The 25,898-nt window shown below is 50.4% G+C and overlaps 2 protein-coding genes across 5 annotated transcripts, besides 8 other annotated features; both read left to right on the forward strand.

Moving 5' to 3' along the window:
- The first annotated feature begins 2,000 nt into the window (after positions 1-2,000).
- Positions 2,001-22,411, forward strand: DPF2 (double PHD fingers 2). Of its 4 annotated transcripts, none has more exons than XM_017018101.3 (12): positions 2,001-2,744; positions 8,534-8,694; positions 9,115-9,222; positions 9,548-9,711; positions 11,894-11,986; positions 12,140-12,218; positions 12,729-12,770; positions 13,815-13,952; positions 14,079-14,207; positions 14,396-14,508; positions 16,999-17,080; positions 19,832-22,411. In XM_017018101.3, the coding sequence occupies exons 2-12, from the start codon at positions 8,562-8,564 to the stop codon at positions 19,906-19,908; spliced, it is 1,158 nt and encodes a 385-aa protein (XP_016873590.1). In that variant the 5' UTR covers positions 2,001-2,744; positions 8,534-8,561; the 3' UTR covers positions 19,909-22,411. The 4 variants fall into 4 exon arrangements, 3 of the variants coding, with proteins under 3 accessions (XP_016873590.1, NP_001317237.1, NP_006259.1); NM_001330308.2 differs by having other exon boundaries at positions 2,001-2,067; NM_006268.5 differs by lacking the exon at positions 12,729-12,770 and having other exon boundaries at positions 2,001-2,067.
- Positions 2,253-2,302: an enhancer, noted in NCBI's record as "active region_4953". NCBI's record gives its function as "activates an Ori minimal core promoter by ATAC-STARR-seq in GM12878 lymphoblastoid cells {active_cell/tissue: GM12878}" and the evidence as "EXISTENCE:reporter gene assay evidence [ECO:0000049][PMID:35858748]".
- Positions 2,353-2,442: a silencer, noted in NCBI's record as "silent region_3516". NCBI's record gives its function as "represses an Ori minimal core promoter by ATAC-STARR-seq in GM12878 lymphoblastoid cells {active_cell/tissue: GM12878}" and the evidence as "EXISTENCE:reporter gene assay evidence [ECO:0000049][PMID:35858748]".
- Positions 5,091-5,591: an enhancer, noted in NCBI's record as "H3K4me1 hESC enhancer chr11:65104413-65104913 (GRCh37/hg19 assembly coordinates)". NCBI's record gives its function as "activates a minimal SCP1, AML or CMV promoter by ChIP-STARR-seq in naive H9 embryonic stem cells {active_cell/tissue: H9 hESC(naive)}" and the evidence as "EXISTENCE:reporter gene assay evidence [ECO:0000049][PMID:30033119]".
- Positions 22,628-22,687: a silencer, noted in NCBI's record as "silent region_3517". NCBI's record gives its function as "represses an Ori minimal core promoter by ATAC-STARR-seq in GM12878 lymphoblastoid cells {active_cell/tissue: GM12878}" and the evidence as "EXISTENCE:reporter gene assay evidence [ECO:0000049][PMID:35858748]".
- Positions 22,778-23,097: a silencer, noted in NCBI's record as "silent region_3518". NCBI's record gives its function as "represses an Ori minimal core promoter by ATAC-STARR-seq in GM12878 lymphoblastoid cells {active_cell/tissue: GM12878}" and the evidence as "EXISTENCE:reporter gene assay evidence [ECO:0000049][PMID:35858748]".
- On the forward strand, positions 22,900-25,762 carry TIGD3 (tigger transposable element derived 3). Its single transcript, NM_145719.3, has 2 exons — positions 22,900-23,106; positions 23,942-25,762. The coding sequence occupies exon 2, from the start codon at positions 23,958-23,960 to the stop codon at positions 25,371-25,373; it is 1,416 nt and encodes a 471-aa protein (NP_663771.1). The 5' UTR covers positions 22,900-23,106; positions 23,942-23,957; the 3' UTR covers positions 25,374-25,762.
- Positions 23,118-23,177: a silencer, noted in NCBI's record as "silent region_3519". NCBI's record gives its function as "represses an Ori minimal core promoter by ATAC-STARR-seq in GM12878 lymphoblastoid cells {active_cell/tissue: GM12878}" and the evidence as "EXISTENCE:reporter gene assay evidence [ECO:0000049][PMID:35858748]".
- Positions 23,188-23,357: a silencer, noted in NCBI's record as "silent region_3520". NCBI's record gives its function as "represses an Ori minimal core promoter by ATAC-STARR-seq in GM12878 lymphoblastoid cells {active_cell/tissue: GM12878}" and the evidence as "EXISTENCE:reporter gene assay evidence [ECO:0000049][PMID:35858748]".
- Positions 23,418-23,607: a silencer, noted in NCBI's record as "silent region_3521". NCBI's record gives its function as "represses an Ori minimal core promoter by ATAC-STARR-seq in GM12878 lymphoblastoid cells {active_cell/tissue: GM12878}" and the evidence as "EXISTENCE:reporter gene assay evidence [ECO:0000049][PMID:35858748]".
- Positions 25,763-25,898: the final 136 nt, after the last annotated feature.

A 25,898-nucleotide genomic window follows, 5' to 3' on the forward strand; every position in this document is an offset into this window, starting at 1 on the left:
ATTGCACTCCAGCCTGGGCAACAAGAGGGAAACTCCGTCTCAAAAAAAAAAAAAAAAAAATTAGTCAAGCTACATAAGATCTATGTGCTTCTCTTTATGTATATTTCAATTAAAAGTTTGAATTTAAAAATAGTACTAATAATAAATAGGCTAGCTGCATATAATTGGAAAGGCAGCTTATGAACCCAGCATCAATAGCTTTCAGTTCTTTTAGGATTGTTTAAGAAAAGGTTACATCAGCTGGCCAGGCGTGGTAGCTCATGCCTGTAATCCCAGCACTTGAAAGCCTAGGCGGGCGGAACACATGAGGTCAGGAGTTCGAGACCAACCTGGCCAACGTGGTAAAACTCTGTCTCTACAAAAAATACAAAAATTAGCTGGGGGCACCTGTAATCCCAGCTACTCGGAAAGCTGAGGCAGGAGAATCACTTGAACCCAGGAGGTGGAGGTTGCAGTGAGCTGAGATAGTGCCACTGCACTCTAGCCTGGGCTGGAAGGAAGAATTTGTTAAGGAGCGACAAGAGCAAAACTCCGTCTCAAAATAAATAAATAAATAAATATAAACAAATAATGTTGTTACGAACATTCTTGTACAGCTTTATTTTTTTTTTTTTGAGACGGAGTCTCGCTCTGTCACCCAGGCTGGAGTGCAGTGGCGCGATCTTGGCTCACTGCAAACTCCGCCTCCCAGGTTCACGCCATTCTCCCACCTCAGCCTCTCCAGTAGCTGGGATTACAGGCGTCCGCCACCATGCCCGGCTAATTTTGTTTTTGTATTTTTAGTAGAGATGGGGTTTCACCATGTTAGCCAGGACGGTCTCGATCTCCTGACCTCGTGATCCGCCCACCGTGGCCTCCCAAAGTGCTGGTATTACAAGCGTGAACCAATGCTCCTGGCCTGTTTTTTTTTGTTTTTTTTTTTTAAGAGACAGGATCTTGCTATGTTGCCCAGGCTGGTCTTGAACCCCTGGGCTCAAGTGATTCTCCCACCTCACCCTCTCAAGTAGCTGGGATTACAGGCATGAGGCATTGCACTCAGCTTCTTGTACAGCTTTCTTGTGTGTATATCCAGGAGTGGACTTTGCTGGGTCATAGGGTATGTGTATTTTCAGCTTTAGTGATTATATTTATATATATATATATATATATACATATGTATATATATACATATGTATATATATGTGTATATATATATATGTATATATGTGTATATATATATGTGTATATATATATGTATATATATTTTTTTTCCTTTTTTTTTTTTTTTTTCTTGAGATGGAGCCTCGCTCTGTTGCCCAGGCTGGAGTGCAGTGATGTGGCTCCAGTGGCTCACTGGAGCCTCAAACTCCTGGGCTCAAGTGATCCTCCCACCTCAGCCTCCCTAGTAGCTGGGATTACAGGCATGCACCACCATGCCCAGCTAATCTTTTTTCTTTTTCTTTTTTTCCTTTATTTATTTATTTATTTATTGAGAAGGAGTCTCGCTCTGTCGCCCAGGCTGGAGTGCAGTGGCGCGATCTCGGCTCACTGCAAACTCCGCCTCCCGGGTTCACGCCATTCTCCTGCCTCAGCCTCCCGAGTAGCTGGGACTACAGGCGCTCGCCACCACACCCGGCTAATTTTTTGTATTTTTAGTAGAGACGGGGTTTCACCGTGTTAGCCAGGATGGTCTCCATGTCCTGACCTCGTGATCCGCCCGCCTCGGCCTCCCAAAGTGCTGGGATTACAGGCGTGAGCCACCGCGCCCGGCCCCGGCTCCTGCTCCTCTAAATATTAGAGGCAAGCCTCGAACCGGAGCTCCGGGATGCATGCCAATCTCCGGTTGCGCCTGCGCGTCGGGCTCCCGTGGGGTCCACGCATTTCCTACCCGGCCCCCGCGAACAGGCGTAAAGCTCTTTCTTCAGTGCTCGCTCTAGTGCGCGCGCCCGGACGGCGCCTGCGCAGAGGGCAAGGAACCTGGTACCCCGGTGCGGTCCCGGCGCCTGCGCGCTGCGGACTGTGGGGCTTCTCGGCCCGAGGCAGAGGAACAGGGAAGATGGCGGCTGTGGTGGAGAATGTAGTGAAGCTGTGAGTGGTCGTTTCTTTCTCTCCTAGGGCGGCAGGTTTTGTAAAGGGCCTGGGAGTAGGGGGCGGTGGGGGAAGGGACTAGGCGGAGAGAGGGACATCCCCGGGAAAGCCATGTTGCGACTCCTGGTGGGGAGGGCAACAGGAGACTCCGGAGAAGACGTTGCGCTTCTTTGGAAACTTGTGGAGGCCCTGGTGGGGGCACACTGGAGCCCCGACGGGCGGCATCCCTGCGGGGCTGTGTGGCCTCAGCGTTCCTCGGGGCTGACGGTTTCCAGAGCATGGCGCCCTGCCTGCACGCGAGACTCACCGTCCCGGTCCTCTCCCGAGACGCCTCAGTCCGGAGGAGCGGGGCCGAGGCCCGGGCGGCCCTACGGCTGGCCCGCCGCCCACCCCGCCCCGTCCCGTCCCGTTCGCTGCAGCAACAGGCTCGGCGGCCCCTGCGGAGTGCACTGCGGGGCTGGCTGTTTCAGTTCCAGGCAGCCCCGTGATGTTTGGGAGGATCTTGGGTGGCAGGTACCTAAGACTACAAATATTCTTGGGAAGAATTTATCGAGGAGCGGATCCAGAAGGGAAGGAACTTCAGGGGAGTGGGCCTTGGCCCCGTCCAGTAGCAGCCATCAAAAACCTGCAACTGGACCGAAGCCGTTCAGGACAGCTTAGCCTAAAGGGGCATCTAGGTGGGCATTCTTCCTATTATACGATACCATTGTGCTGGTCAGATTTCAAGCAAAGTTAAAGTTAATAGCTGTTGGGGCCATGGACGCTGGCCTATGAACTGCTTCCTGTGAGTTAAAGATGCTTTGGGACTTGATTTATTCCTACAGAAGAATCAGAATGAGTTTTAGATTGGGTTAATGCATGGTGGGCGAATAGAGCTTCTTTTAATGGGTATGTTGGGCTTGGTGCAAGGGTGGGAAAATTGAGTGGTGTCTAGCTGTCCAGTCAGGGTTTTTGCATTTTGACTGGATGACGAGGTAAAGGTTCGGTAACTCTTCTAAGGGACTCACAGCTTCTCATCTGTCTTTGTCGTGGCCTGAGCCCCACTCTTCCTAAGAGCCTTTTTAAAGAGTAAGTTGCTTCTCCCTCCTGCCTGAAGCCTTTTCTTTGAGAATGCTTTCCCACTTCCATTAAGCTAAGTGCCTTTCCTCCTCTTGTGGTTTGTTTTTTTTTTTTTTAAGTTGCTTTCTGCTCTATCCTGCTGTCTCTTTCAGCCACCCCTCCTCCCAACGCTATTGTCTTTCTCTCTGATCTGCCCACTCCAGTTTCCCCAGCTCTTTCTTCAGGCTGACATTTTTCTCAATTTAGAAATGACACTGTTGATCTACCATTTATCCAGTTATCCTTCCTGACTCAGATGTTCTTTCTTTGTTTCCCTGCGTCTTTGTTGACTTCCCTCATCCCATTGTAAGGGGATGTTTTACACAGGTTTCTCCAAAAATAAAAAGGAAGATTCTCATTGTACTGGGGGAGTATCAGACTTGCCTAGGTTTTGGGAGTTAAACGTAGTGAGGTTCTTCGTGTTGGAAGATTTTCCTCAGAGAAATAGGGTTGCCAGTGCTTTCAAGTTGTGTCATAAGTGAGGGGTTGCCCATTTAAACAGAGCGTGACATCTTGTTTCTCTTTGAAAAACTGTAGAGATTGTGAGCATCACCAGCCACTAATTCCTGAATGCCAGTAATGAGAAACCAACTCTCTCCTCCTCATTTCTAGCTGCACAGGGCCTCAGATCACAATTAATACGTACTCCCACAGAATTATCCCTTTAAGAAGGGGCTTCTATTCTTCCAGTTCATTTGGAGATATGGCACTTCTCTTGATTATAGTGTGCCTAGTCTTCTGACAGCTGATGTTATACATTGAGTACATTGAGGTCAGGACCACTAGCTCATCTTTTCTTTTTTTTTATTTTTTTAGACAGAGTCTCACTGTTGTCGGCCCGGGCTGGAATGCAGTGGCACGATCTTGGCTCACTGCAACCTCCGCCTCCCGGGTTCCAGCAATTCTCCTGCTTCAGCCTCCCGGGTAGCTGAGATTACAGGTGCCCACCACCACACCTGGCTAATTTTTGTGTTTTTAGTAGAGATGGGGTTTCACCATGTTGGCCAGGCTGGTCTTGAACTCCTGACCTCAGGAGTTCACCCGCCTCGGCCTCCCAAAGTGCTGGGATTATAGGCGTGAGCCACCACGCCCGGCCCCTCATCTTGTATGACTTGCATCTTGTCCTGGGAAAAGAATTTTCTTATTTGTAAATTTCTATCCCTTCCGAATGTGATGTCAGAAATGAAAGTCTTGGCTGGGTGCAGTGGCTTACGCCTATAATCCCAACACTTTGGGAGGTTGAGGCAGGCAGATTGCTTGAGGTCAGGAGTTTGAGACCAGCCTGGCCAACATGGTGAAACCTCATCTCTACTAAAACTATAAAAATTAGTTAGGTGTGGTGGCGCACACCTGTAGTCCCAGCTACTTGAGAGGCTGAGGCACAAGAATCGCCTGAACCCAGGCGGCAGAGGTTGAAGTGAGCTGATATCACACCACTGCCCTCCAGCCTGAGTGACACTTTTAAGACTCTTTCTTAAAAAAAAGAAAGAGGCTGTTGGGCGCGGTGGCTCATGCCTGTAATCCCAGCACTTTGGGAGTCCGAGGCGGGCAGATCACAAGGTCAGGAGATTGAGACCATCCTGGCCAACATGGCGAAACCCCACTCTACCAAAAATACAAAAATTAGCTGGGCATGGTGGCGTGTGTCTGTAATCCCAGCTACTCAGGACGCTGAGGGAAGGGAATCACTTGAATCCAGGAGGCAGAGGTTGCAGTGAGCCAAGATCGCACCACTGCACTCCAGCCTGGCAACAGCAAGACTCCATCTCAAAAAAAAAAAAAAAAAAAAAGAAGCCGGGCACGGTGGCTCATGCCTGTAATCCCAGCACTTTGGGAGGCTGAGGCGGGCGGATCACAAGGTCAGGAGTTTGAGACCAGCCTGGCCAAGGTGGTGAAACCCGTCTCTAGTAAAAATACAAAAATTAGCTGGGCATGGTGGCGTGCACCTGTAGTCCCAGCTACTCAGGAGGCTGAGGCAGAAGAATCGCTTGAACCCAGGAGAGATCACACCACTGCACTCCAGCCCAGGCGACAGAGCGAGACTCCGTCTCAAAAAAAGAGAGAAAGTCTTTAAGCGTTCTTACTAGGAAAGTAAAATAATAGTATAGCTGTAGCTGCTGATTGGTTTTGAAACTTTCTAGGCAAAATCTAGAGGCAGGGCGCGGTGGCTTACACCTGTAATCCCAGAACTTTGGAAGGCCGAGGTGGGCGGATCATGAGGTCAGGAGTTCGAGACCAGCTTGGCCAACATGGTGAAACCCTGTCTCTACTAAGAATACAAAAATTAGCTGGGCGTGGTGGCGCATGCCACTCGGGAGCCTGAGGCAAGAGAATCGTTGGAACCCGGGAGGCAGAAGCTGCAGTAGGCAGAAGCTGCAGTGAGCCGAGATTGCACCACTGCATTCTAACCTGGGCGGCAAAGCAAGACTCTATCTCAAAAAAAAAAAAAAAAAAAAAAATATATATATATATATATATATATATATATAGAGAGAGAGAGAGAGAGAGAGAGAGAGAGAGAGAGAGAGAGAACAATGTTAATGTTAACTTGACATTTCTTGGTATCGGAGCCTTAAGTTTTTGTTATTGCTTTTTTTTGTTTTAAGAGACAGAGCCTCCCTCTGTCCCCCAGGCTGAAGTGCAGTGGTATAACCTTGGTTTACTGCACCCTCAACTTCCTAGGCTCAAATGATTCCCCTACCTCATCCGCCCCAGGGGCTACGTGGAACCACAGGCATGCATCACTAAGCCTAGCTGATGGTTTTTTTGTTTGTTTGTTTTGTTTTTTTTAATTTTATTTTTTTTGAGACAGAGTTTCGCTCTTGTTGCCCAGGCTGGAGTGCAATGGCGCAATCTCGGCTCACCGCAACCTCCGCCTCCCAGGTTCAAGCAATTCTTCTGCCTCAGCCTCCCCCGTAGCTGGGATTATGGTCATGTACCACCACGCCCGGCTAATTTTGTATTTTTAGTAGAGACAGGGTTTCTCCATGTTGAGGCTGGTCTCGAACTCCTGACCTCAGGTGATCCGTCCACCTCAGTCTCCCAAAGTGCTGGGATTACAGGCGTGAGCCACTGCGCCAGGCCTTTTTTATTTTTATTTTTTAACGTTTTGTAGAGATGGGATCTCACTATGTTGCCCAAGCTGGTCTCTAACTCTTGGTCTCAAGAGATCCACCAGCCTTGGCCTCCCAAAGTGCTGGGATTATAAGCATGAGCTACTGTGCCCGGCCTCCCTTAAGTTCTTAAGAGCTCACTGTCATGCTGTCTTGTTCTCTCTTCATGAGATTCTCCCCCCACACTTCAGTGTTTCCTTCCCAGCCCTTTTACCCCCAAGACTGTTTGCCTGCCTTATGTAGCTCACAAGAGCCCTGACAGAACATCTCTCATTCATTCCCCGCAAAACTGTTTCCAGCCTCCTTGCTCTGACTTTGCAGCACTCGCCAGCCTGGCCCTGCCTTCCATTTGACTTCCAGTGTCCGTATCAATTCCCATCAGCAGAAACAAAGGAGCTGCCGCACTCAACCTTGTTTATCCAATTTTATTCTGTGTGGTGAAGACGTGGCTGCCTCCTAAAGGCGAGCCCACAGAGGCAAGGCTGCCTTCTCCATTCTGCTCTCCAACGTGAGATTCGTGCCTACCTCAGATTACAGTCATTACAGCTCATTGAATCACGCCAGGCTATATTTGTGGCATTGCCGTCTCTGTGTGTCGTATGTGTCTTTTTTACTTGCTGGGCACATGCTAAGTTATGCAGTGGTCTATTGTGGCTGCTCACTGAAGGACCCTGTCACATTCTAGAGCAGGGTTTGTTGGTGTAGCCCGAGTTACGGACAGAAACCACAGAGACTTAATCTGTTTGCTGTCTCATCCCCAGGCTGTTTCTTGTAAAATCCTGATATGTCAAAGCTCATTTGGTCCAACCTCCTCAATCTATAGAAGAGTAACCAAGGTCCACCTGGGCTGACTAAGTGTCCATGTTCGTGTGACTTGCAGGCAAGCCAGGTCTTTTTACTCTCAAGTCAAGTCTGACTGTATCTCAGACATCGTCATGAGTATTAGGGATACTATGAGAAATAAATCAATTCTGCCCTTGGTTTAAGATTGATTGACGCCAGGTACTGTGACACATGCCTCTATTCCCAGATACTTGGGAGGCTAAGGCAGGAGGATCACTTGAGCCAGGAGTTTGTGTCCAGCTTGGGCAACATAGTGAGACCTTGTCTCTTAAAAAAAAAAAAAAACAAGATTGATTGAATATAAGATCGAGTTTGTTAACCTCCATTACCAAAGTCCTTGTTAAACCCTGCAAGATGAGAACAAGATAGGTTCTATATACACGCTTCTTAGAACCAGATAACTCCTGGCACTGTGCAGTTTTCCAGTTTTCCACTTAAAGATTTACCCTTGATTCAGATTTCAAATTGAGTCTTTTGAGACCAAGAAGATTTTTTCCTATATAATTTTATTTTGTGAGAATGGAGAAGAACCCTAAGATGGGCCTTAGAGCAAACAAGTTTCTTATGAGTGATGGTGCTCAATAAAAGCTTCAAGGAACTTCAGGTACTTGTAGACATCTTCCATAAATGTAAAATTAATTAGTTGATTAAAAACCTAGTTCAAAATTCAAAAGATATAAAAAGGCATATGGAAGGAAGTGGCCTAGTCACCCACTTTTTCTCCCCGCTGACCTGCAGTTTCTTTTCCATTTTGTTACATAAATGATAGTTTTATTTGACGCTTCTCAGCAGTGTACCTTGCTTTGCTTTTTGTCCCTAGTTAACTTGAAATTGTTTAATATCAGTATGTGAAGAGCTTCCTTCTTATGGCTAAGTAGAATTTCATTGTATGGATTTACCATAGTTTGCTAAATACATTTTAATAAGTCCCCTAGACTTTGAACTCTTTCCCTCTGGAGCAGACCTTGGGGCAAGGATGTGGGAGCATGTAGTTTATTTGGGAGGTGATTCTAGGAAAGAGGGAATAAGGAGGAACTTAGGAGGGACTATCATCTGCTTCTTAGCCTCATAAGGGTTAAGAGAAATAGCATCTTAACTAGCACAGGGGTGGGCTTGTGAGACACGTGGAGTGAACATTCTTTCACCTCTTTGGGGGTTAAACTTAAGTCTGATTAGACATATGATGAAATCATGTGTTCCTGATGGTAATTTATTTGTAAAGTAATTCCTCATGATGGCCTAGAAAAGGGGCTTCGTGTCCCATGAGGCAGAAGTGGAGGCAAATAGAACGGAAGAGACAGCCACCCAGTCCCTTGAGCCTTCTAGAGAAGCAGATGGCAGGGGAGAGGAATAGCTCAGCACCCTATGCCCCCCGCTCCAACATACACGCCTGATTTCTATCTTCCCTGCAGCCTTGGGGAGCAGTACTACAAAGATGCCATGGAGCAGTGCCACAATTACAATGCTCGCCTCTGTGCTGAGCGCAGCGTGCGCCTGCCTTTCTTGGACTCACAGACCGGAGTAGCCCAGAGCAATTGTTACATCTGGATGGAAAAGCGACACCGGGGTCCAGGTGAGGGTCCAGACTTGGGAGAAGGGGACTCAGGAGCATAAGGAGGAAGAAGCCTCCTCATCTTAGGTGATGAGACAGTTGATAGGGTTTTCCCTACTGCCTTCCACCTATGGATGAATATGGTCTTCCTGTGATTAGAAACCCAGGGAGGATGAAGCAGATGTTTGATACCAGCATCTTTGTTTTCTGCCCTGCTGAGGCCATTGTGTGTCTGGAGAACTATGTGTTAGCCAAGGCCCTGAAGCTTATATATCTATTTTTCTTTTCCACAGACTATTCCACCTAACCCCCTAGGCCCTCACTGTCAGAATTTCTCCCTTGCTCTAGAACTCAAAGGGGGGCCTACTTAATTAGAAAGTGTTTGGTATTACTTTCTAATACTGGGTTAGGGCCTGACTTCTATCTTTCTTCCTGCCACAGGATTGGCCTCCGGACAGCTGTACTCCTACCCTGCCCGGCGCTGGCGGAAAAAGCGGCGAGCCCATCCCCCTGAGGATCCACGACTTTCCTTCCCATCTATTAAGCCAGGTAAGGCACATACTTCCTGAGCAGAGGCGTGGCCTGCTGCATGGTGAGAGCCTGCTAATCACTGTGATATACCAGGCCCAGTACTAGATCCCAAATATACTCAAATGAATATGATGTGATTCTTTCCTTTAAGGACCTCAGTCTAGAAGGGGAGACAGGTAAACAGATAAGTTATGGTGCCAAGTGAACTAGGGTGTCTTAATTCCTGGGCGTGCAGAGAACAAAAGATAGTGACAGACCTTTGGTAAGCCCCAGCATTATGTGGACTCAGAGCAGTCTGCTTTCAGCCCTTTTGAGCCTTGCTTTATCCTGACCTTGCTTGCAGACACAGACCAGACCCTGAAGAAGGAGGGGCTGATCTCTCAGGATGGCAGTAGTTTAGAGGCTCTGTTGCGCACTGACCCCCTGGAGAAGCGAGGTGCCCCGGATCCCCGAGTTGATGATGACAGCCTGGGCGAGTTTCCTGTGACCAACAGTCGAGCGCGAAAGGTACAGGATTATCCCTGTGGCTAAGGGAGCTTTGATGGAAATCAGCCTCCTCTTCACTGGGGGCCACCTAGTTTCTAGAACTGAAACAGAAGCTGGAGTCCAGGAAGCAGGCCCCTGCAGTTCTGTTCTTACTTCAGTCCCTGATTATTGTCAGGTACTGACTGGCTTCTCTGTTGCTTCTAACTATAGACTCTCATTCATTCACTTTTATCACAGAAGGTTATTATTATACACATATATAATTTTCATTAAAAAAATTAAAATAGGCCAGATGCAGTGGCTCATGCCTGTAATCCCAGCACTTTGGGAGGCCAAGGCAGGAGGATTGCTCAAGTCCAGGAGTTCGAGACCAGCCTGGGCAACAAAGTGAGACCCCATCTCTACAAAAAAATAATAATTAAAAAAAAATAGCCAGGCATAGCAGCATGCGCCTGTTGTCCCAGCTACTAGGGAAGCTGAGGTGGGAGAATCACTTGAGCCTATGAGTTCGAGACTGCAATGAGTCATGATCATGCCACTGCACTCCAGCCTGGGCAACAAAAAAAAAAAATTAAAACCAGAAGGTGCAAGAATAGTACAATGAAATACCACATACTCTTTACCTAGATTTATCAATTCCACATTTTGCCACATTTGCCTTATCTGTCTTTGCTAAACTATTTGAGAGGAAACTTCAAAAACTTTTCAGTCTAGGCAACATAGCAGGACCTTGTCTCTACTAAAAATAAAAATAAAAAATTAGCTGGGCATGGTGGCACACGCCTGCAGTCCCAGCTACTCAGGAGGCTGAGGTGGGAGGATTGCTTGAGCCCAGGAGATTGAAGCTGTAGCTCTGCTTATGCCTCTGCACTCCAGCCTGGGTAACAGAGGGAGACCCTGTCTGGGAAGGGAGGGAAACAAACTTTTATCCCTAAGTGCTTTACTCTTTTATCACAAAAGTTTGTGTCACAGTTTTTTGGTCCCTGAGGTTACACAGTGAAGCACACTTAGTCTCTGCCAACAGAGAAGATAAGAATACATGTAAAAATAACAGCTATAAATATGCCAGCATTGGGTTAAGTGCCTTTTCATGCCCTTTCTCCTTTAGTCTGTACAACCTTATGGGGTAGGTCCTGTGTTCCCCATTTCACACAGAGGCTGAAACAAAGCAGTTTAAAAACTTCCCATGGGTCGGGCACGGTAGCTCACGCCTGTAATCCCAGCACTTTGGGAGGCCGAGGCAGGCGGATCTTGAGGTCAGGAGATCGAGACCATCCTGGCTAACATGGTGAAACCCCGTCTCTACTAAAAATACAAAAAAAATTAGCCAGGCGTGGTGGTGGGCACCTGCAGTCCCAGCTACTCAGGCGCAAACCCGGGAGGCAGAGCTTGCAGTGAGCCGAGATTGCGCCACTGCACTCCAGCCTAGGTGACAGAACGAGACTCCATCTCAAAAAAAAAAAAAAAACTTCCCATGGCCGGCCACGGTGGCTGACGCCTGTAATCCCAGCACTTTGGGAGGCCGAGGCAGTTGGATCACCTGAGGTCGGGAGTTCGAGACCAGCCTGACCAAGATGAAGAAACCCCGTCTCTACTAAAAATCCAAAATTAATCAGGTGTGGTGGCGCATGCCTGTAATTCCACCTACTTGGGAGGCTGAGGCAGGAGGATCGCTTGAACCCAGGAGACGGAGGTTGCGGTAAGCCAGTATTGCGCCATTGCACTCCAGCCTGGGCAACAAGAGCGAAACTCTGTCTCAAAAAAAAAAAAAAAAAAAAAAAGCTTCCCACAAGGTCACACAAATAAGCAACAACATTTTAATTTAAACTAGGAGGCGAGTGTCAGGACAGAACCACCAATAATGTGCTCCCAGGGTGGCCAATCAGAGGCAGGAGAGGGCATGGCTGCTTGTGGCATCAGGGCAACCTTTTGGAAGCATGCTATTTGATTTGGCCATGTGGCATGGTGGGGAAAGCATTTCAGGCTAAGGAAATAACGTGAAGCACAGGGGAAAGATATCCCAAAGTATGGAAGGGAGCAGGAGCAGGATTATAGCATGCTTGAAAGGCGTTGGTGAGGAATGAGGCTGGTGTGGGTGGGACCACGTCACAGAGGAGGTTCTGGGTGGCCTTGGCCAGTCTCATCATAGGGGAGCTTTTGGATGCACATATTTCTACCCATGCTAACCCTCCTGTCCACTCAGCGGATCCTAGAACCAGATGACTTCCTGGATGACCTCGATGATGAAGACTATGAAGAAGATACTCCCAAGCGTCGGGGAAAGGGGAAATCCAAGGTGAGGGGCCAGCGTGCTGCCTGCATCTTGGGACAGGGTGGCCTAGGGAATTCCTTATTTTATTTCAAGTGAGATTAGCGGCCACTTCCAAAAGAGTCTAACTCCTCAGGCCCAGCTACCAAAATAAGGGTGTCTCTTTGCTCTTCTTGGCAGGGTAAGGGTGTGGGCAGTGCCCGTAAGAAGCTGGATGCTTCCATCCTGGAGGACCGGGATAAGCCCTATGCCTGTGACAGTGAGTGCCTCACAAGTGGGTGGGTAGACCTTGCCTTGGACCCAGCTCCTGCTCTGGATATGAGAGGAGGGAGGGTTGTGTTTTTGCCCAGAGTATTAAAACAAACCTGGGCTCTTGTCCTGCCTGCTGACTGCTTCCGTCTGAGACCCCTGGGAGGCCTGGGTCCCTGCTATATGACGGGTGGGACCTGCATGCTCTGGGAAAGATTTCTGCCATCCTCTGGGGTAGGGTTGCTTGTGGGGGCCACAGCAGGCAGGGTTGGCCTCTCAACAGATGGCCTGCAGGTCTCCTGGCCTCAGTTAAGCCAGGGCCCCAGGGGTCTGACACTGAGTTTTTCAACGTCTGTTCTCTTTTTCTTTCTGTCTGCCTTGCCCCACTTCTGTCCCTCCACCCTGGGAGCACCATCGCCGCTGGGGTTTCTCTCTCGTTTGCTCTGCTTTCCTGCTGCTGCTGCTCCTGTCTCAAGTGTATCAAGGCCTTCTTCTCATGACTTTTCTTTCTGTCTTTCAGATAGTTTCAAACAAAAGCATACCTCGAAAGCGCCCCAGAGAGGTAGCTCTCTCAACTTTTCAGACTTGTGGTTTTCCTTTCCCTTTTTCCCTCTTCCCTTGTTCCTCCTGCCTTTCTCATTTCCTGGGATGCTAGCTTTAAAATCTCTGGAATGGCATGGGGGTAGGAGCAGTGGAATTTCTGCTGTGCTCTACTCCTCAAAGTCCTGAAGGCTGCCTTTACCACTGCTTGTTTCCCACAAACCTGCTCCTAGAGCTGCTCGGCCCAGTGCATGGGGTGGCTTCAGAAGCATTATCAGGAGCCCATTACAATCAGACCCTTCCGCTCCCTCCCCAGACCAGGCAGCTGGTGGTCAGCTCATGTTCCCCACTGCCCCACCACCTCCTCCTGCCATCCTCTCTCCCCACTCCTTTCCTGCTGGCCCCCTTGCCCTTCTTGGTATTACTTCTCAAGATGACAAAATGCCTCATGGGGATCTGCTTTCCTTGCTGATTGGCAGGCCTGGACAGGGCAATTACATGGGAGTGTGCTTGAATTTCTTTGGGGACCAACTGCCCAACTGGCTTCATTGATAGGCTATCCCCAAGAAACCCATCCCCTGCTTGTTTACCCACATTCAGGGGAGATGGGCTCCATGGTGTGTGGGGTAGCATGAGCCTCCCACATTTACTGAGGGGTAAAAAAGTTTGGAGTCTTATCCACTTTTCCCCCTTCCTGCCACCCCAAAGATATAGGAATATCCTTCCCTTTCCTGACCTGGAGCGTCCCAGACTGTTAGTATATCCCAGAGCAACTAACTGGTGATGGGGCAAGGGCTAAGCCCCCCAAAAGTCAACATGGAAGAGCAGTGGTGGCCATGGGGTTGGAGTTCAGGAGGGAAAAGAGCCCCAGAAGCTAGAGAGCCCCACGGCCTGATGCTCCTGGCTGAGGGGAAGTGGCCGTCACTCAAGGCCTGTCCCAGAGTGGAGCTGCTAGGGGAAGGGATGGTTGCCCTCTGCCTCAGGTGGAGCCCCCACAGCTTGCAGGGATGGGGACATGGCACTCTTGTATCCTAACACCTTTCTCTGCAATCTTCTTCCCACTCAGTTTGTGGAAAACGTTACAAGAACCGACCAGGCCTCAGTTACCACTATGCCCACTCCCACTTGGCTGAGGAGGAGGGCGAGGACAAGGAAGACTCTCAACCACCCACTCCTGTTTCCCAGAGGTCTGAGGAGCAGAAATGTAAGCTGAGGTGTCAGAAGTGGTGGGCAAGCAGAAGTTGGCCTGGTTATGAAAACCACTCCTTGCATGGGTGTTGAGTGGCTCAGGGACCCCCATGGGTGTCATCAAAACTCTTTCTCTCTGTAGCCAAAAAGGGTCCTGATGGATTGGCCTTGCCCAACAACTACTGTGACTTCTGCCTGGGGGACTCAAAGATTAACAAGAAGACGGGACAACCCGAGGAGCTGGTGTCCTGTTCTGACTGTGGCCGCTCAGGTACTGCTTCCCGTGAAGGCTGCTGCTTTGCCCAGTCCCCAAGGGGCTCTTGGCTTGCTGGCCTCTAGGGCTGTCATAACCAGCCCACCTCGCTTTTCCTAACCAAGAGAAGATGTAGCCACAGGCAGGAGCTCCTCTCTTCCCCCCGCATTTCCGACTGTCTGTCTCACTCACTTCCCCCACTACAGGGCATCCATCTTGCCTCCAATTTACCCCCGTGATGATGGCGGCAGTGAAGACATACCGCTGGCAGTGCATCGAGTGCAAATGTTGCAATATCTGCGGCACCTCCGAGAATGACGTGTGTATCCCCGCCCCCTCCTCAGCATGGCTCCTTCTGGGCTTTTACTGCTGTTTGCACAGTTCCCTCTAAAGTGAGCTTTCTTTTAAAAAGGGAGCAGGATCCCTCCCACATGCCACACGCCCCTCCCTAGCATCTCAGTCAGAACTCTGATTTGTTGCCAGATATATATTGAGTGCTGATTTTATGTCAGACACTGTTCTAGTCACTAAAGATGCTAAAGACAAACAAGGTCCCTGCCTCATGAGATTTACATTCTTACAGGAACAACAATAAGCAAGGATGTAAATGAGATTTGTATAATGTGCCATGAAAAAAACGAAATCAGTACTGTGGCAGAGAATAATTGCATAAGTGATTTATTTTGATGGTCAGGTATGGCTCTTCTGGGAGGGTGATGCTGGTGTTGAAATTTTGGTGATACCAAGGAGCCAGTCAAGATTTGGAGGTAGAGGAATCCCAGGAAAGGAGCAGCCAGCGCCAAGGCCTTATGTTGGACAAGCCAGATGACAGGGCATGGGAGAGTATGGTGGGCAATGAGATGAGAGAGGCAAGCACTGCCAGATCTCTGGGGCCTCGGGTTTTATTCTAGGTACAACAGGACACTGTTGAAGGGTTTTACTCGGGAAGTGACATGGTTATTTATGTATTTATTTATTTACTTTTTTTTTTTGAGATGGAGTCTTGCTCTGTCGCCCAGGCTGGAGTACAGTGGCACAATCTCAGCTCACTGCAACCTCTGCCTCCTGGGTTCAAGTGATTCTCCTGCCTCAGCCTCCCAAGTAGCTGGGATTACAGACACGTGCCACCACACCCGGCTAATTTTGTATTTTTAGTAGAGATGGGGTTTCTCCATGTTTGCCAGGCTGGTATCGAACTCCTGACCTCCGGTGATCCGCCTGCCTCAGCCTCCCAAAGTGCTGGGATTATAGGCGTGAGCCACTGCACCCAGCTATTTATTTATTCTTTATGTATTTATTTATTTATTTTGAGACAGAGTCTCTCTGTCATCCAGGCTGGAGTGCAGTGACGCGATCTTAGCTCACTAAAACCTTTCCCTTCAGGCTCAAGCAGTACAATCCTCCCACCTCAGCCTCCCGGGTAGCTGGGACCACAGATGCACACCACCATGTCTGGCTACTTTTTTATATTTTTGGTAGAGACAGGGTCTTGCCATATTGCTGAGCTGGTCTCAAACTCCTGAGCTCAAGCAGTCCTCCCACCTTGGCCTCTCAAAGTGCTGGGATTACAGGCATGAACCCACCATGTCTGGCCTTGTCTTATATTTTATTTTATATTTATTTATTTATTTCAAGATGGAGTTTTACTCTTGTCATCCAGGCTGGAGTACAATGGCGCAATCTCGGCTCACTGCAACCTCTGCCTCCCAGGTTCAAGCAATTCTCCTGTCTCAGCCTCCCAGGTAGCTGGGATTACAGGCGCCCGCCACCACGCCTGGCTAATTTTTAGTAGAGACGGGGTTTCACCATGTTGGCCAAGCTAGTTTTCAACTCCTGACCTCAGGTGATCCACCTGCCTCAGCCTCCCAAAATGCTGGTATTACAGGTGTGAGCCACCGTGCTTGGCCCTTGTCTTATATTTTAAAAAGATGACTTTGGGTGCCGTGTGGAGGGTAGACTGTAGGGACAAGGATGGAGGCTCATGCCTGTAATCCTAACACTTGAGAGGCTGAGGCGGGAGGATCACTTGAGCCCAGGAATTCAAGACCAGCCTGAGCAACATAGGGAGATCCTGTCTCCACAAAAAAAATAAACACTTAGCCAGGTGTGGTGGCACACACGTTAGTCCCAGCTACTTGGCAGGCTGAGGTGGGAGGATTGCTTGAACCCAGGAGTTTGAGGCTGCAGTGAGCCATGATCACACCACCGCACTCTAGCCTGGGCAACAAAGCAAGACCTTGTCTCAAAAAGAAATAGTCACTGGGCACGGCGTCTCACACCTGTAATCCAAGCACTTTGGGAGGCTGAGGTGGGAGGATTGCTTGAGCCTGGGATTTCAGGACCAGCCTGGGCAACGTAAGGAGATCTTGTCTCTCCAAAAACATTGAAAAATTAGCTAGGTGTGGTGGTGTGTGCCTATAGTCCCAGCTACTTGAGAGGCTGAGGTAGGAGGATCACTTGGGCCCAGGAGGTCAAGGCTGCAGTGAGCCGTGATTGCACCACTGCACTCCAGCCTGAGTGACAGCAATACCCTGTCTCAAAAAAATATACCATAGAGCTTGGGCTTTAGGGAAAAAAAAAAAAAAAAAAAAGTGGAGGTGATTTGATCAATTAGGAGCTCTGAAAGGACCCAAGTGAGAAATGACAGTGACTGGATCTGCGGTGGAGAGGGGCAGCATGGTTTCCCACATAAGATTCTCACATCTGTTCTTACCTGCTACCTACCCCTCTTGGAAATAGCAGTGTCCTGTAGTGGCCTGAGGCACATCAGTTATTCAGTCCCCATCCTCTTCCCTCTTGCCTACTTCAGGACCAGTTGCTCTTCTGTGATGACTGCGATCGTGGCTACCACATGTACTGTCTCACCCCGTCCATGTCTGAGCCCCCTGAAGGTAAGTTGCCCAGATCTTTTACTCAGAACAATTACTTTATTAGTTACTTGGAAAATACTGAGTTCTATGTTCTTTATGTTATCACTTACATATTCTTCCAAATTAGGGAGTAAAGCACCTTGCCTTGGCTCAGTTTAGAATGCCTTCCTAACATTTCAACTTAAAGGGTTTAGTGTTTGCACATTATCAGCTACATTTACAACAGAAAATCAACAGCCCAGAAGAAAGCAGATGCTGAGCCGAGATCAGGCACCCAGAAGGAATGATTTATTTTCTTCCAACCAGTCCAGAAAACTCAAGTGGTAGATTATCTGATGTGAAACTTCTGCAGTCAACTCTTGAAATTTGATAGATTTGAGCATTTATTTCCTATCCCTTCCCCTTCTGAACTGGGAAGGGACTTGACTTTGGAGCCTGAATGGGTCAGTCTGCTTCTCCGATAACTTACTGTAATAATGGTCCAAATTTATTAAAGCTATTCACTGAAACCAGTGGTGGCACCAAGAATTGGTTGCATCTCCACAAGTCCCCTTCCAGCTGGATTTCTGTACATAAACACCTCCTGTACAGAAATTGAGTAGCAGCTGGGCGCGGTGGCTCAAGCCTGTAATCCCAGCACTTTGGGAGGCCGAGGTGGGCGGATCACGAGGTCAGGACATGGAGACCATCCTGGCTAACACGGTGAAACCCCGTCTCTACTAAAAATACAAAAAAATTAGCCGGCTGTGGTGGCGGGCGCCTGTAGTCCCAGCTACTCAGGAGGCTGAGGCAGGAGAATGGCGTGAACCCGGGAAGCGGAGCTTGCAGTGAACCGAGATCGCACCACTGCACTCCAGCCTGGGCGACAGAGCGAGACTCCATCTCAAAGAAAAAAAAAAAAAAGCCAACAGAAATTCAGTAGCTTACTCAGAACACAAATGCCCAGGAGCTGTTACTGTGCACAAAGGATGTGGGCCAGCATTACAGGCAAGAGAAAGTGTTTCATTGTGTGATGTAAGCTGACTTGTAACATATCGGTCAAACTGCTGTCACCCCTCTAGAGAATGAGGCCCCTGACAATGTCTAAGAGTCCTTTAGCAGCTGTAGGGGAGTACTCAGCTTCTGTCAGGCCCAGTTTATGAATCTGCTTTGGGGAGAAGTCGCATGTTTATGTTTTGTTTTGTTTTGTTTTTTTAAACCATCAAACAGATGATCTATGTTACAGAATGGCTTTCCTATTAAAGTTCTGTGGGACATCGAGGTAGTGGAGAGCTGCAGGCCCGAGTGTCCTCACTGTAGTGTTAAGGCAGCTGAGGGGCAACCCCTAGAAGTATCAGATGTTCTAGGTCAGGGTCAGCAAGCTACAAGCTAAAACCTATGGACCACATCCAGCCACAGCCAGCTTAAATAGCTTGCAAGCTGTTTTGTTTTCTTTTCTTTTCTCTTTTTCTTTTTCTTTCTTTCTTTTTTTTTTTTTTTTTTGAGACAGTGTCTTGTTCTGTTGCCCATGTTGGAGTGGAGTGGCATGATCTCAGCTCACTGCAACCTCTGCTTCCCCGGGCTCAGGTAATCTGGTAATCCTCCCACCTCAGCCTCCTGAGTACCTGGGACTACAGGCATGCCACCACACCCGGCTAATTTTTGTATTTTTAGTAGAGACGGGGTTTTGCCATGGTGCCCAGGCTGGTCTCGAACTCCTGGGCTCAAGTGATCCACCCACCTCAGCTTCCCAAAGTGCTGGGATTACAGGTGTGAACCACTGCATCTAGCCTGAAGAAAATCCCCTTAAAAATATAAAAACTGGCTGTGCACTGTGGCTCGCATCTGTAATCCCAGCACTTTGGGATCTCTTGAGCCCAGGGGTTCAAGACCAGCCTGGGCAGCATGGCAAAACCCCATCTTTACTAAAAATAGAGAAATTAGCTGGGCGTGGTGCTGTGCGCTTGTAATCTCAGCTACTATAGAGGCTGAGGCAAGAGAATTGCTTGAATCTGGGAGGCAGAGGTTAGAGTAAGCTGAGATCACACTGCTGTACTCCAGCCTGAGCAACAGAGCGGAAACTCTTGTCTCAGAAAAAAAAAAAATAAAGGGAGTTAAAAAAAAAATGCATGAGACTGTATGTGGCTCACACACCCTAAAATATTTAACACTCTGGCTCTTTACAGAAAACTTTGCCAACCGTATTGACCTTTGGGTTAGAAAGGACTTACATTTTTGAGTCACCTGTTTCTGAAGAGCTGATAAAAGCCCTAGAATAATGTCCAAATGCGCATAGGTATAATTTTGCTTATCATTTCAAGGCATTAAGGACTAATTTTATTCAAAAAAAATTAGAAGAATTCAGCCATAGTCAATATTAATAAACAAGGAATGACCCAATTGTTTTTCATATAAGGGACAATTATTTTGTGTTTTTTAGTGAAACTACACAAGTCTTAAAACTGAGGTGCTTGACAAACTTCTGTCTTCCCAGGCCCTCTTCCTACTCCCAAAACTTCTGATTTAATAGGGCCAAGAGGGCCTGGGCATCAGTATTCTGAAGTCCTCTAGATGATTATTTCTTTCATCTCCATAGAGGATGATATTTCATAATATTTGAAGACTTAGAGGTTTATCCCAGCTCAGGAAACCATGGAACTTTCCTGCTGCAGAGCATCCCTCGTCCTACCTGTAGCTGATCCTGCTATAGAGATGGGGTATCAAGAGCAGAGGAATTGCAAGCAGGTGGGGATTGTGTGGGACCCATCCTGACCCCATTTTGCCTCTCTGCAGGAAGTTGGAGCTGCCACCTGTGTCTGGACCTGTTGAAAGAGAAAGCTTCCATCTACCAGAACCAGAACTCCTCTTGATGTGGCCACCCACCTGCTCCCCGACATATCTAAGGCTGTTTCTCTCCTCCACTTCATATTTCATACCCATCTTTCCCTTCTTCCTCCTCTCCTTCACAAATCCAGAGAACCTTGGGGTGGTTGTGCCAGCCTGCCTTTGGCAGCTGCAAGCTGAGGTGGCAGCTCTGACCACCTCTGGCCCCAGGCCCTCAGGGAGAAAGGAGCAACACACTGCCCCTAGGCGTGCGTGTGGCCCAGTTTCTCTCTGCTCTCCATTAAGTGCATTCACTCTGCTTGCCTTGGGCCCAGCCCCTGGTGATCACAGGGTTCAAACAGTGTCCTCCTAGAAAGAGTGGGAGAGCAGCTCACTTCTCTGTGTTCTGCCTCCCCTCTGGTCTCCAGAGTTTTCCTGTCCTCTAGAGGCAAGCCAGGCCAGGGAGCTGGGAGCGAGCAAGCTGAGGCCACGTCCACAAGGAGCTTTTCATGCCCCTGTGCCGCATAGCCTCACCTCTTTCCTCCAGAGTGGCTCTCTGCGGCCCTGTGTTCCTGCTACAGAGTGTTCTTTTCTGGAGTCAGGATGTTCTCGGTCACCCTCCTGGTTCTGCCCTGTCCCATTCCACCCCACCCCAGGGGGAACAGTAGCTTCACCTTGTTATTCCCATTGCTCTCCTGGCTCACTCTTACGGTCGGTCTCCAGTGACTGAAGCATTCCCCACCCTTGGAATTTCTCATCTTCTGCCTCCCTTCCTACTCCTTTTGGTTTTGTGGGGAGAGGGGAAGGATCAGGGGGCCAGGCCAGCAGCTCGGGGGCCACAAGGAGATGGATAATGTGCCTGTTTTTTAACACAACAAAAAAGCCTACCTCCAAAATCCCCTTTTTGTTCTTCCTGGACCTGGGCATTCAGCCTCCTGCTCTTAACTGAATTGGGAGCCTCTGCCACCTGCCCCGTGTATCCTGGCTCTCAGCTCATGGGGAAGCCACATAGACATCCCTTTCTTCCCTTGCACGCTCGCTAGCAGCTGGTAAGGTCTTCACACCCTGATTCCTCAAGTTTTCTGCTTAGTGGCACTGACATTAAGTAGTGGGGGGACAGTCCATGCCAGGACACCCTGGAGTAGCCTTCCCCCTTGGCCGTGGGCAGGCCCTAACTCACTGTCGCTTTGGAGTTGAGGTGTCTTTTTTTTTTCTTTCTTTAGTTCCTGTATTCTAAACATTAGTAAAAATAAATGTTTTTACACAGAGCCCTCTGCTGGATGGTTTATCTCCTGCCTTTCTCCATTAAGAAGGCCATTTCATCCTAAGATTTCCATGATGGTGGTTTTTTTTTTTAATGTTTTGAAATACAGCTTTTTTCCCCCCAAATTAAAATTTTTTTGTGGAACCCCAATATGTAAAGCGAATATAAAATTGGTTATTTTGTTTTGTTACATAAATTCAAGTTTATAACAATTCTTTGTTATAAAGAACAATGAAGCTGTTTTGATCAATACAAAATTTGGGTTAAAATCAACTTTAACATCTATTTTTATGTTTCAGTTGATTTGGAGAATTCTCCTAGTCTTGGATACATAGATGGAAGTGATGACAGGTTTATAACAGTTGACCTTGCAATCTCAGACATTTAAAACAGGACCAGAAGTTTATATAAATATAATTAATAAGCAAACTAATGACATCACCATGGGACACACACAAAAGTTCTTGCAGGAGCAGGGTCTGTGTGGCTTCAGTTGCCTGCAGCGCTCCCAGGCCAGAGCAAGTGCTCTAGGATCTGAACTGCCCGCAGTGCAGCCCTGCAGCCTTTCCCAGGGCACGTTGATGTGCACACAGTTTCCCTGAAGGCAAAGTGAACATGTGGAGAGCTTACGTGGCAGCGCGTATGTCTTCAGTGTGTGTTTTAGAAGTCCAACTGTTGTTTTTATGTTTTTAAAGGAAAGATTTGAATCAAGCAGTTATGGGCCCCCTGAAGTATCCTTTTTTCTAGAACATTCTGAAAGTCATCCTTGCCTATGGGAAGCCTAGGCCGGCCTGCACTGTTATGTTCAATAAATAAGCAGGGTGCTCTGGGCTGGGGATTGTGTGAGGAGCAGAGCGCAGCCCGTCCTCATGCTTTTCCACTGAAGTAGGCCAGGCAGAGAGGGAGTACAGCAATGGATGCGCTTTGGCAGCTGAGTAGTCCGAGAGCCAGAAAAGAAATGTGGAAAATAAGAACGCTGTAGCAGGCCTAGGTGAGGAAATTTAGGAAGGGTTTGCGGGAGGTAGGATTTGAGATGGGTCTTGGAGAGTTGGACAGTGTCAGCCGGTAGGACGGGGGTGCGGACGGAAGCCTGTGAGGAAGGCAGAGGATGCGGAGCTGTGAGCGGAGGGAGCAGCGAGGCTGGAGAGCAGCTGGGCTGCGGGTCAAGACGTCTGCGTTTAATTCGGGACTGAAGGTTAGCAGGGAAGGGAACGATGCCAGATCTTGAGTTTAAGAACTTGAATCTTGTAAAGTACCAAATCTAATAAAATACTCGTCCTAAATCATTACTGGCCCAAGCATGCAGTGTTTCCGTGGCCGACAGACTCGAGCCAGCGCTGTCCATGGTAACCAGCTTTTGTGTGGCTTAAAGCTTGCATCCATTTTCTCCTTTCATCGTTTTCCCAAAACAATTCCGTGAGGGCTGTTAGCCCTGCTTGGTAGACGAAGAAGCCGATGCGGTCTAGGGTCACGGCCAGGGAGGCTTTGGGACGCCAAGTCAGCTCGGCGGTCACCACACCACCTACAGGGCTCGTCGGGCCCTCGGGGTCGGCGGCTGCTGGAGGCGCCCAGGGGAGTCCTGCTGGTTCCTGGCTCCGCCTCCCGCCCCTCCGCGCTAGAAGCCCCGCCCCCAGAGGGGCTCGACGAACCGCCACTTCCGCAACGTCCAATGAAACTTAGCCGGGGGAGGGACGGGGCGCCACTGAGGACCAATCTGCTTGGGCCGGGGCGGGGCTGCGGCGGGTGGGTGCAGAGGGGCCGCACCGCGGACTTCGCAGCCGGGAGAGAGCCCGGCGCGGGCGGCGCGCACGGGACTCTGCTGTGCGCGCGCCCGCCCGCCCGCCGTCCGCGCAGGCCCTCGGTCCGCTCTGCCCTCGGGGTCGTGGCGCCCATCCCTCCCCTGTTCTGCTGTCGCCGCCCGGACAGGGGCTCGGGAGCCGGGCTGGGGGCAGGGGCTGGAGCCGCGGGACCAGCGCCTGAGGTGGGTGCGGAGCGGGAGGCCGGGCGGGCGGGCGCCTGGGGCCGCCCCGCCGACATACTCCGGGTCGAGGGGGAGTGACCGGCCAGGGCACGGAGTCCGGCTGCCGGCCTGCCTGGGTCCGGGCGTTCGTTCCCGCGCCCTGGGACCCTCCCAGGCCACCACCCTCCCCGCGGGGACACCCCGCCCCTCCGCTGCCCGCAGCCTCCTCAGGCCTCCCGCCCTTTGTCGCTCGTGCACCTGCGCCCTCGGCCCTGCCCTCTCGCTCCCCTCAGGACTGACCGTCGCCTAGCCTCCCTCTCAGGACCCGGCACCAAATTAGCCTCGCTCCTTCAGACACCCTCTGTCCCCTTTGTCGTCTGTACACCTGTCACCTCAACTCTGTGTGCATCCACCCACCTCCCACCCCCCAGCGGCGTCATCTGAATCCAGCCCAAGCCGCCTCCCACTCCCTCCCGGGGGCTCCTCCCCCGCAGCCCCGTAGCCCCACACCTGCCCCCTCGGCCCCAGTCCCAGGCCCTCCCCCGTCCGTATGCCTTTGTTATCTCTGCAGCTGTCCCCTGCACTTTTCATCCTTCTTCCCGAGTGAGGCCAGACCCCAGCCCAGACTCCCCTGTCCTTCTGAGTGGAGAGACGCCCCCTCCCCAGCTCTGCCCTGGCATCCTGGGGACGGGGCCAGCCGGCTTCCACTCGGCCTAGCCACTTCCTCTTTCAGCGGGTCCAGTCTCACCCGGTGCCTGCGCAAGTCCTCATCTAATCTCTTTTCCCTCCTGCGCTCCTTTCCTAGCTCTTCCGGCCTCAGATTACTCTACCCGCTCAATCTTTCCTCCCCGCACAGGTGCCCCGGAGAGGCCATGGAGCTGAGCAGCAAGAAGAAGCTTCACGCCCTGTCCCTGGCCGAGAAGATCCAGGTGCTGGAACTCCTGGATGAGTCCAAGATGTCCCAGTCGGAGGTGGCCCGGCGCTTCCAGGTTTCCCAGCCCCAGATCTCGCGCATCTGCAAGAATAAGGAGAAGCTGCTGGCGGACTGGTGCAGCGGCACAGCCAACCGAGAGCGCAAGCGCAAGCGGGAGTCCAAGTACAGCGGGATCGACGAGGCTCTGCTCTGCTGGTACCACATTGCCCGGGCCAAGGCCTGGGACGTGACGGGGCCCATGCTGCTCCACAAAGCCAAGGAGCTGGCCGATATCATGGGCCAGGACTTCGTGCCCAGCATCGGCTGGCTGGTCCGCTGGAAACGCCGAAACAACGTCGGCTTTGGGGCCCGCCATGTTCTTGCGCCTTCATTCCCCCCTGAGCCACCTCCCCCGGGGCTCACATCCCAGGCTCAGCTGCCTCTTTCCCTAAAAGACTTCTCTCCAGAGGACGTGTTTGGCTGTGCTGAATTGCCCTTGCTGTATCGGGCAGTGCCCGGCAGCTTTGGTGCATGTGATCAAGTACAGGTGCTGCTGTGTGCCAACAGCAGGGGCACCGAGAAGCGGCGGGTACTGCTGGGTGGGCTCCAGGCTGCCCCGAGATGCTTCTTTGGGATCCGCAGTGAGGCTCTGCCTGCCTCCTACCACCCGGACCTGGGCATCCCCTGGTTAGAGTGGTTGGCACAGTTTGACCGGGACATGGGACAGCAGGGCCGACAGGTGGCTTTGCTGCTGGCTGCCCGAGTGGTGGAGGAGCTGGCAGGCCTGCCTGGGCTCTACCACGTGAAGCTCTTGCCTCTGGCCGCCTCTAGCACCACGCCTCCCCTGCCCAGCTCAGTGGTCCGGGCCTTTAAGGCCCATTACCGACACCGGCTGTTGGGCAAACTGGCTGCCATCCAAAGCGAGAGGGATGGCACCTCGCTGGCCGAGGCCGGGGCAGGCATCACCGTGCTGGACGCCCTGCACGTGGCGTCTGCCGCCTGGGCCAAGGTGCCTCCTCAGCTCATTTTCAGCAGCTTCATTCAAGAAGGGCTGGCTCCCGGCAAAACGCCCCCGTCCTCGCACAAAACCTCTGAGATGCCACCAGTCCCCGGCGGGCTGAGCCTGGAGGAGTTTTCCCGCTTTGTGGACCTGGAGGGTGAGGAGCCAAGGTCTGGAGTATGTAAGGAGGAGATAGGCACTGAAGACGAGAAGGGGGACAGAGAGGGTGCCTTTGAGCCCCTGCCCACCAAAGCTGATGCCCTCCGGGCCCTGGGCACCTTGAGGAGGTGGTTTGAATGCAACAGCACTTCTCCTGAGCTATTCGAAAAATTCTACGACTGTGAGGAGGAGGTGGAGCGGCTTTGCTGCCTATGAAGGCGCCTTCACTGCTTGCCAGAGCCCCTTCCTCTCTTGTTTCCCATGGAAACGGCCTCTTCAGAAGGCAGATCGGGCTGTCTCTTTCCTGTGGAAATAGAACTGTCGTAAAGGTGTAGAAGGGAGAGAAGTTGGGACACCAAGTCTGAGCTTGGAGTGGCAGTCGTCCAAACCCCAGGAAGAGAGCTCTAAAGATGGGGCTTCGGGGGTAGGAATCCAGGATGCTTAGTTTCTAGACCCTGCTTGAAAGTTCTAGAGCCTTTGAAAGGGAGTTAGTCTAGAGGCAGCCACTTAGAAAGGTGGAATTTGGGCTTTTTGGACAGACTGCTTCCTTGAACTTTGTGTTAAAAACAGTTCTGCTTCTGAAAATAAAGTTTTTAATCAGAAAAGAGGCCAGGGTGTTATTTTCATGGGAGAAGGGTAAACATTTTCCATTCAGATTTGGAAAATTAATTGCTGATGGTCACTGCGGTGCAGCTGTCTGTCCATGACCAGTAGGGATCCTCCTTTTCCAGATATTCAGCA

Source organism: Homo sapiens, chromosome 11 (assembly GCF_000001405.40).
Source record: "Homo sapiens chromosome 11, GRCh38.p14 Primary Assembly".
Taxonomy (NCBI): domain Eukaryota; kingdom Metazoa; phylum Chordata; class Mammalia; order Primates; family Hominidae; genus Homo; species Homo sapiens.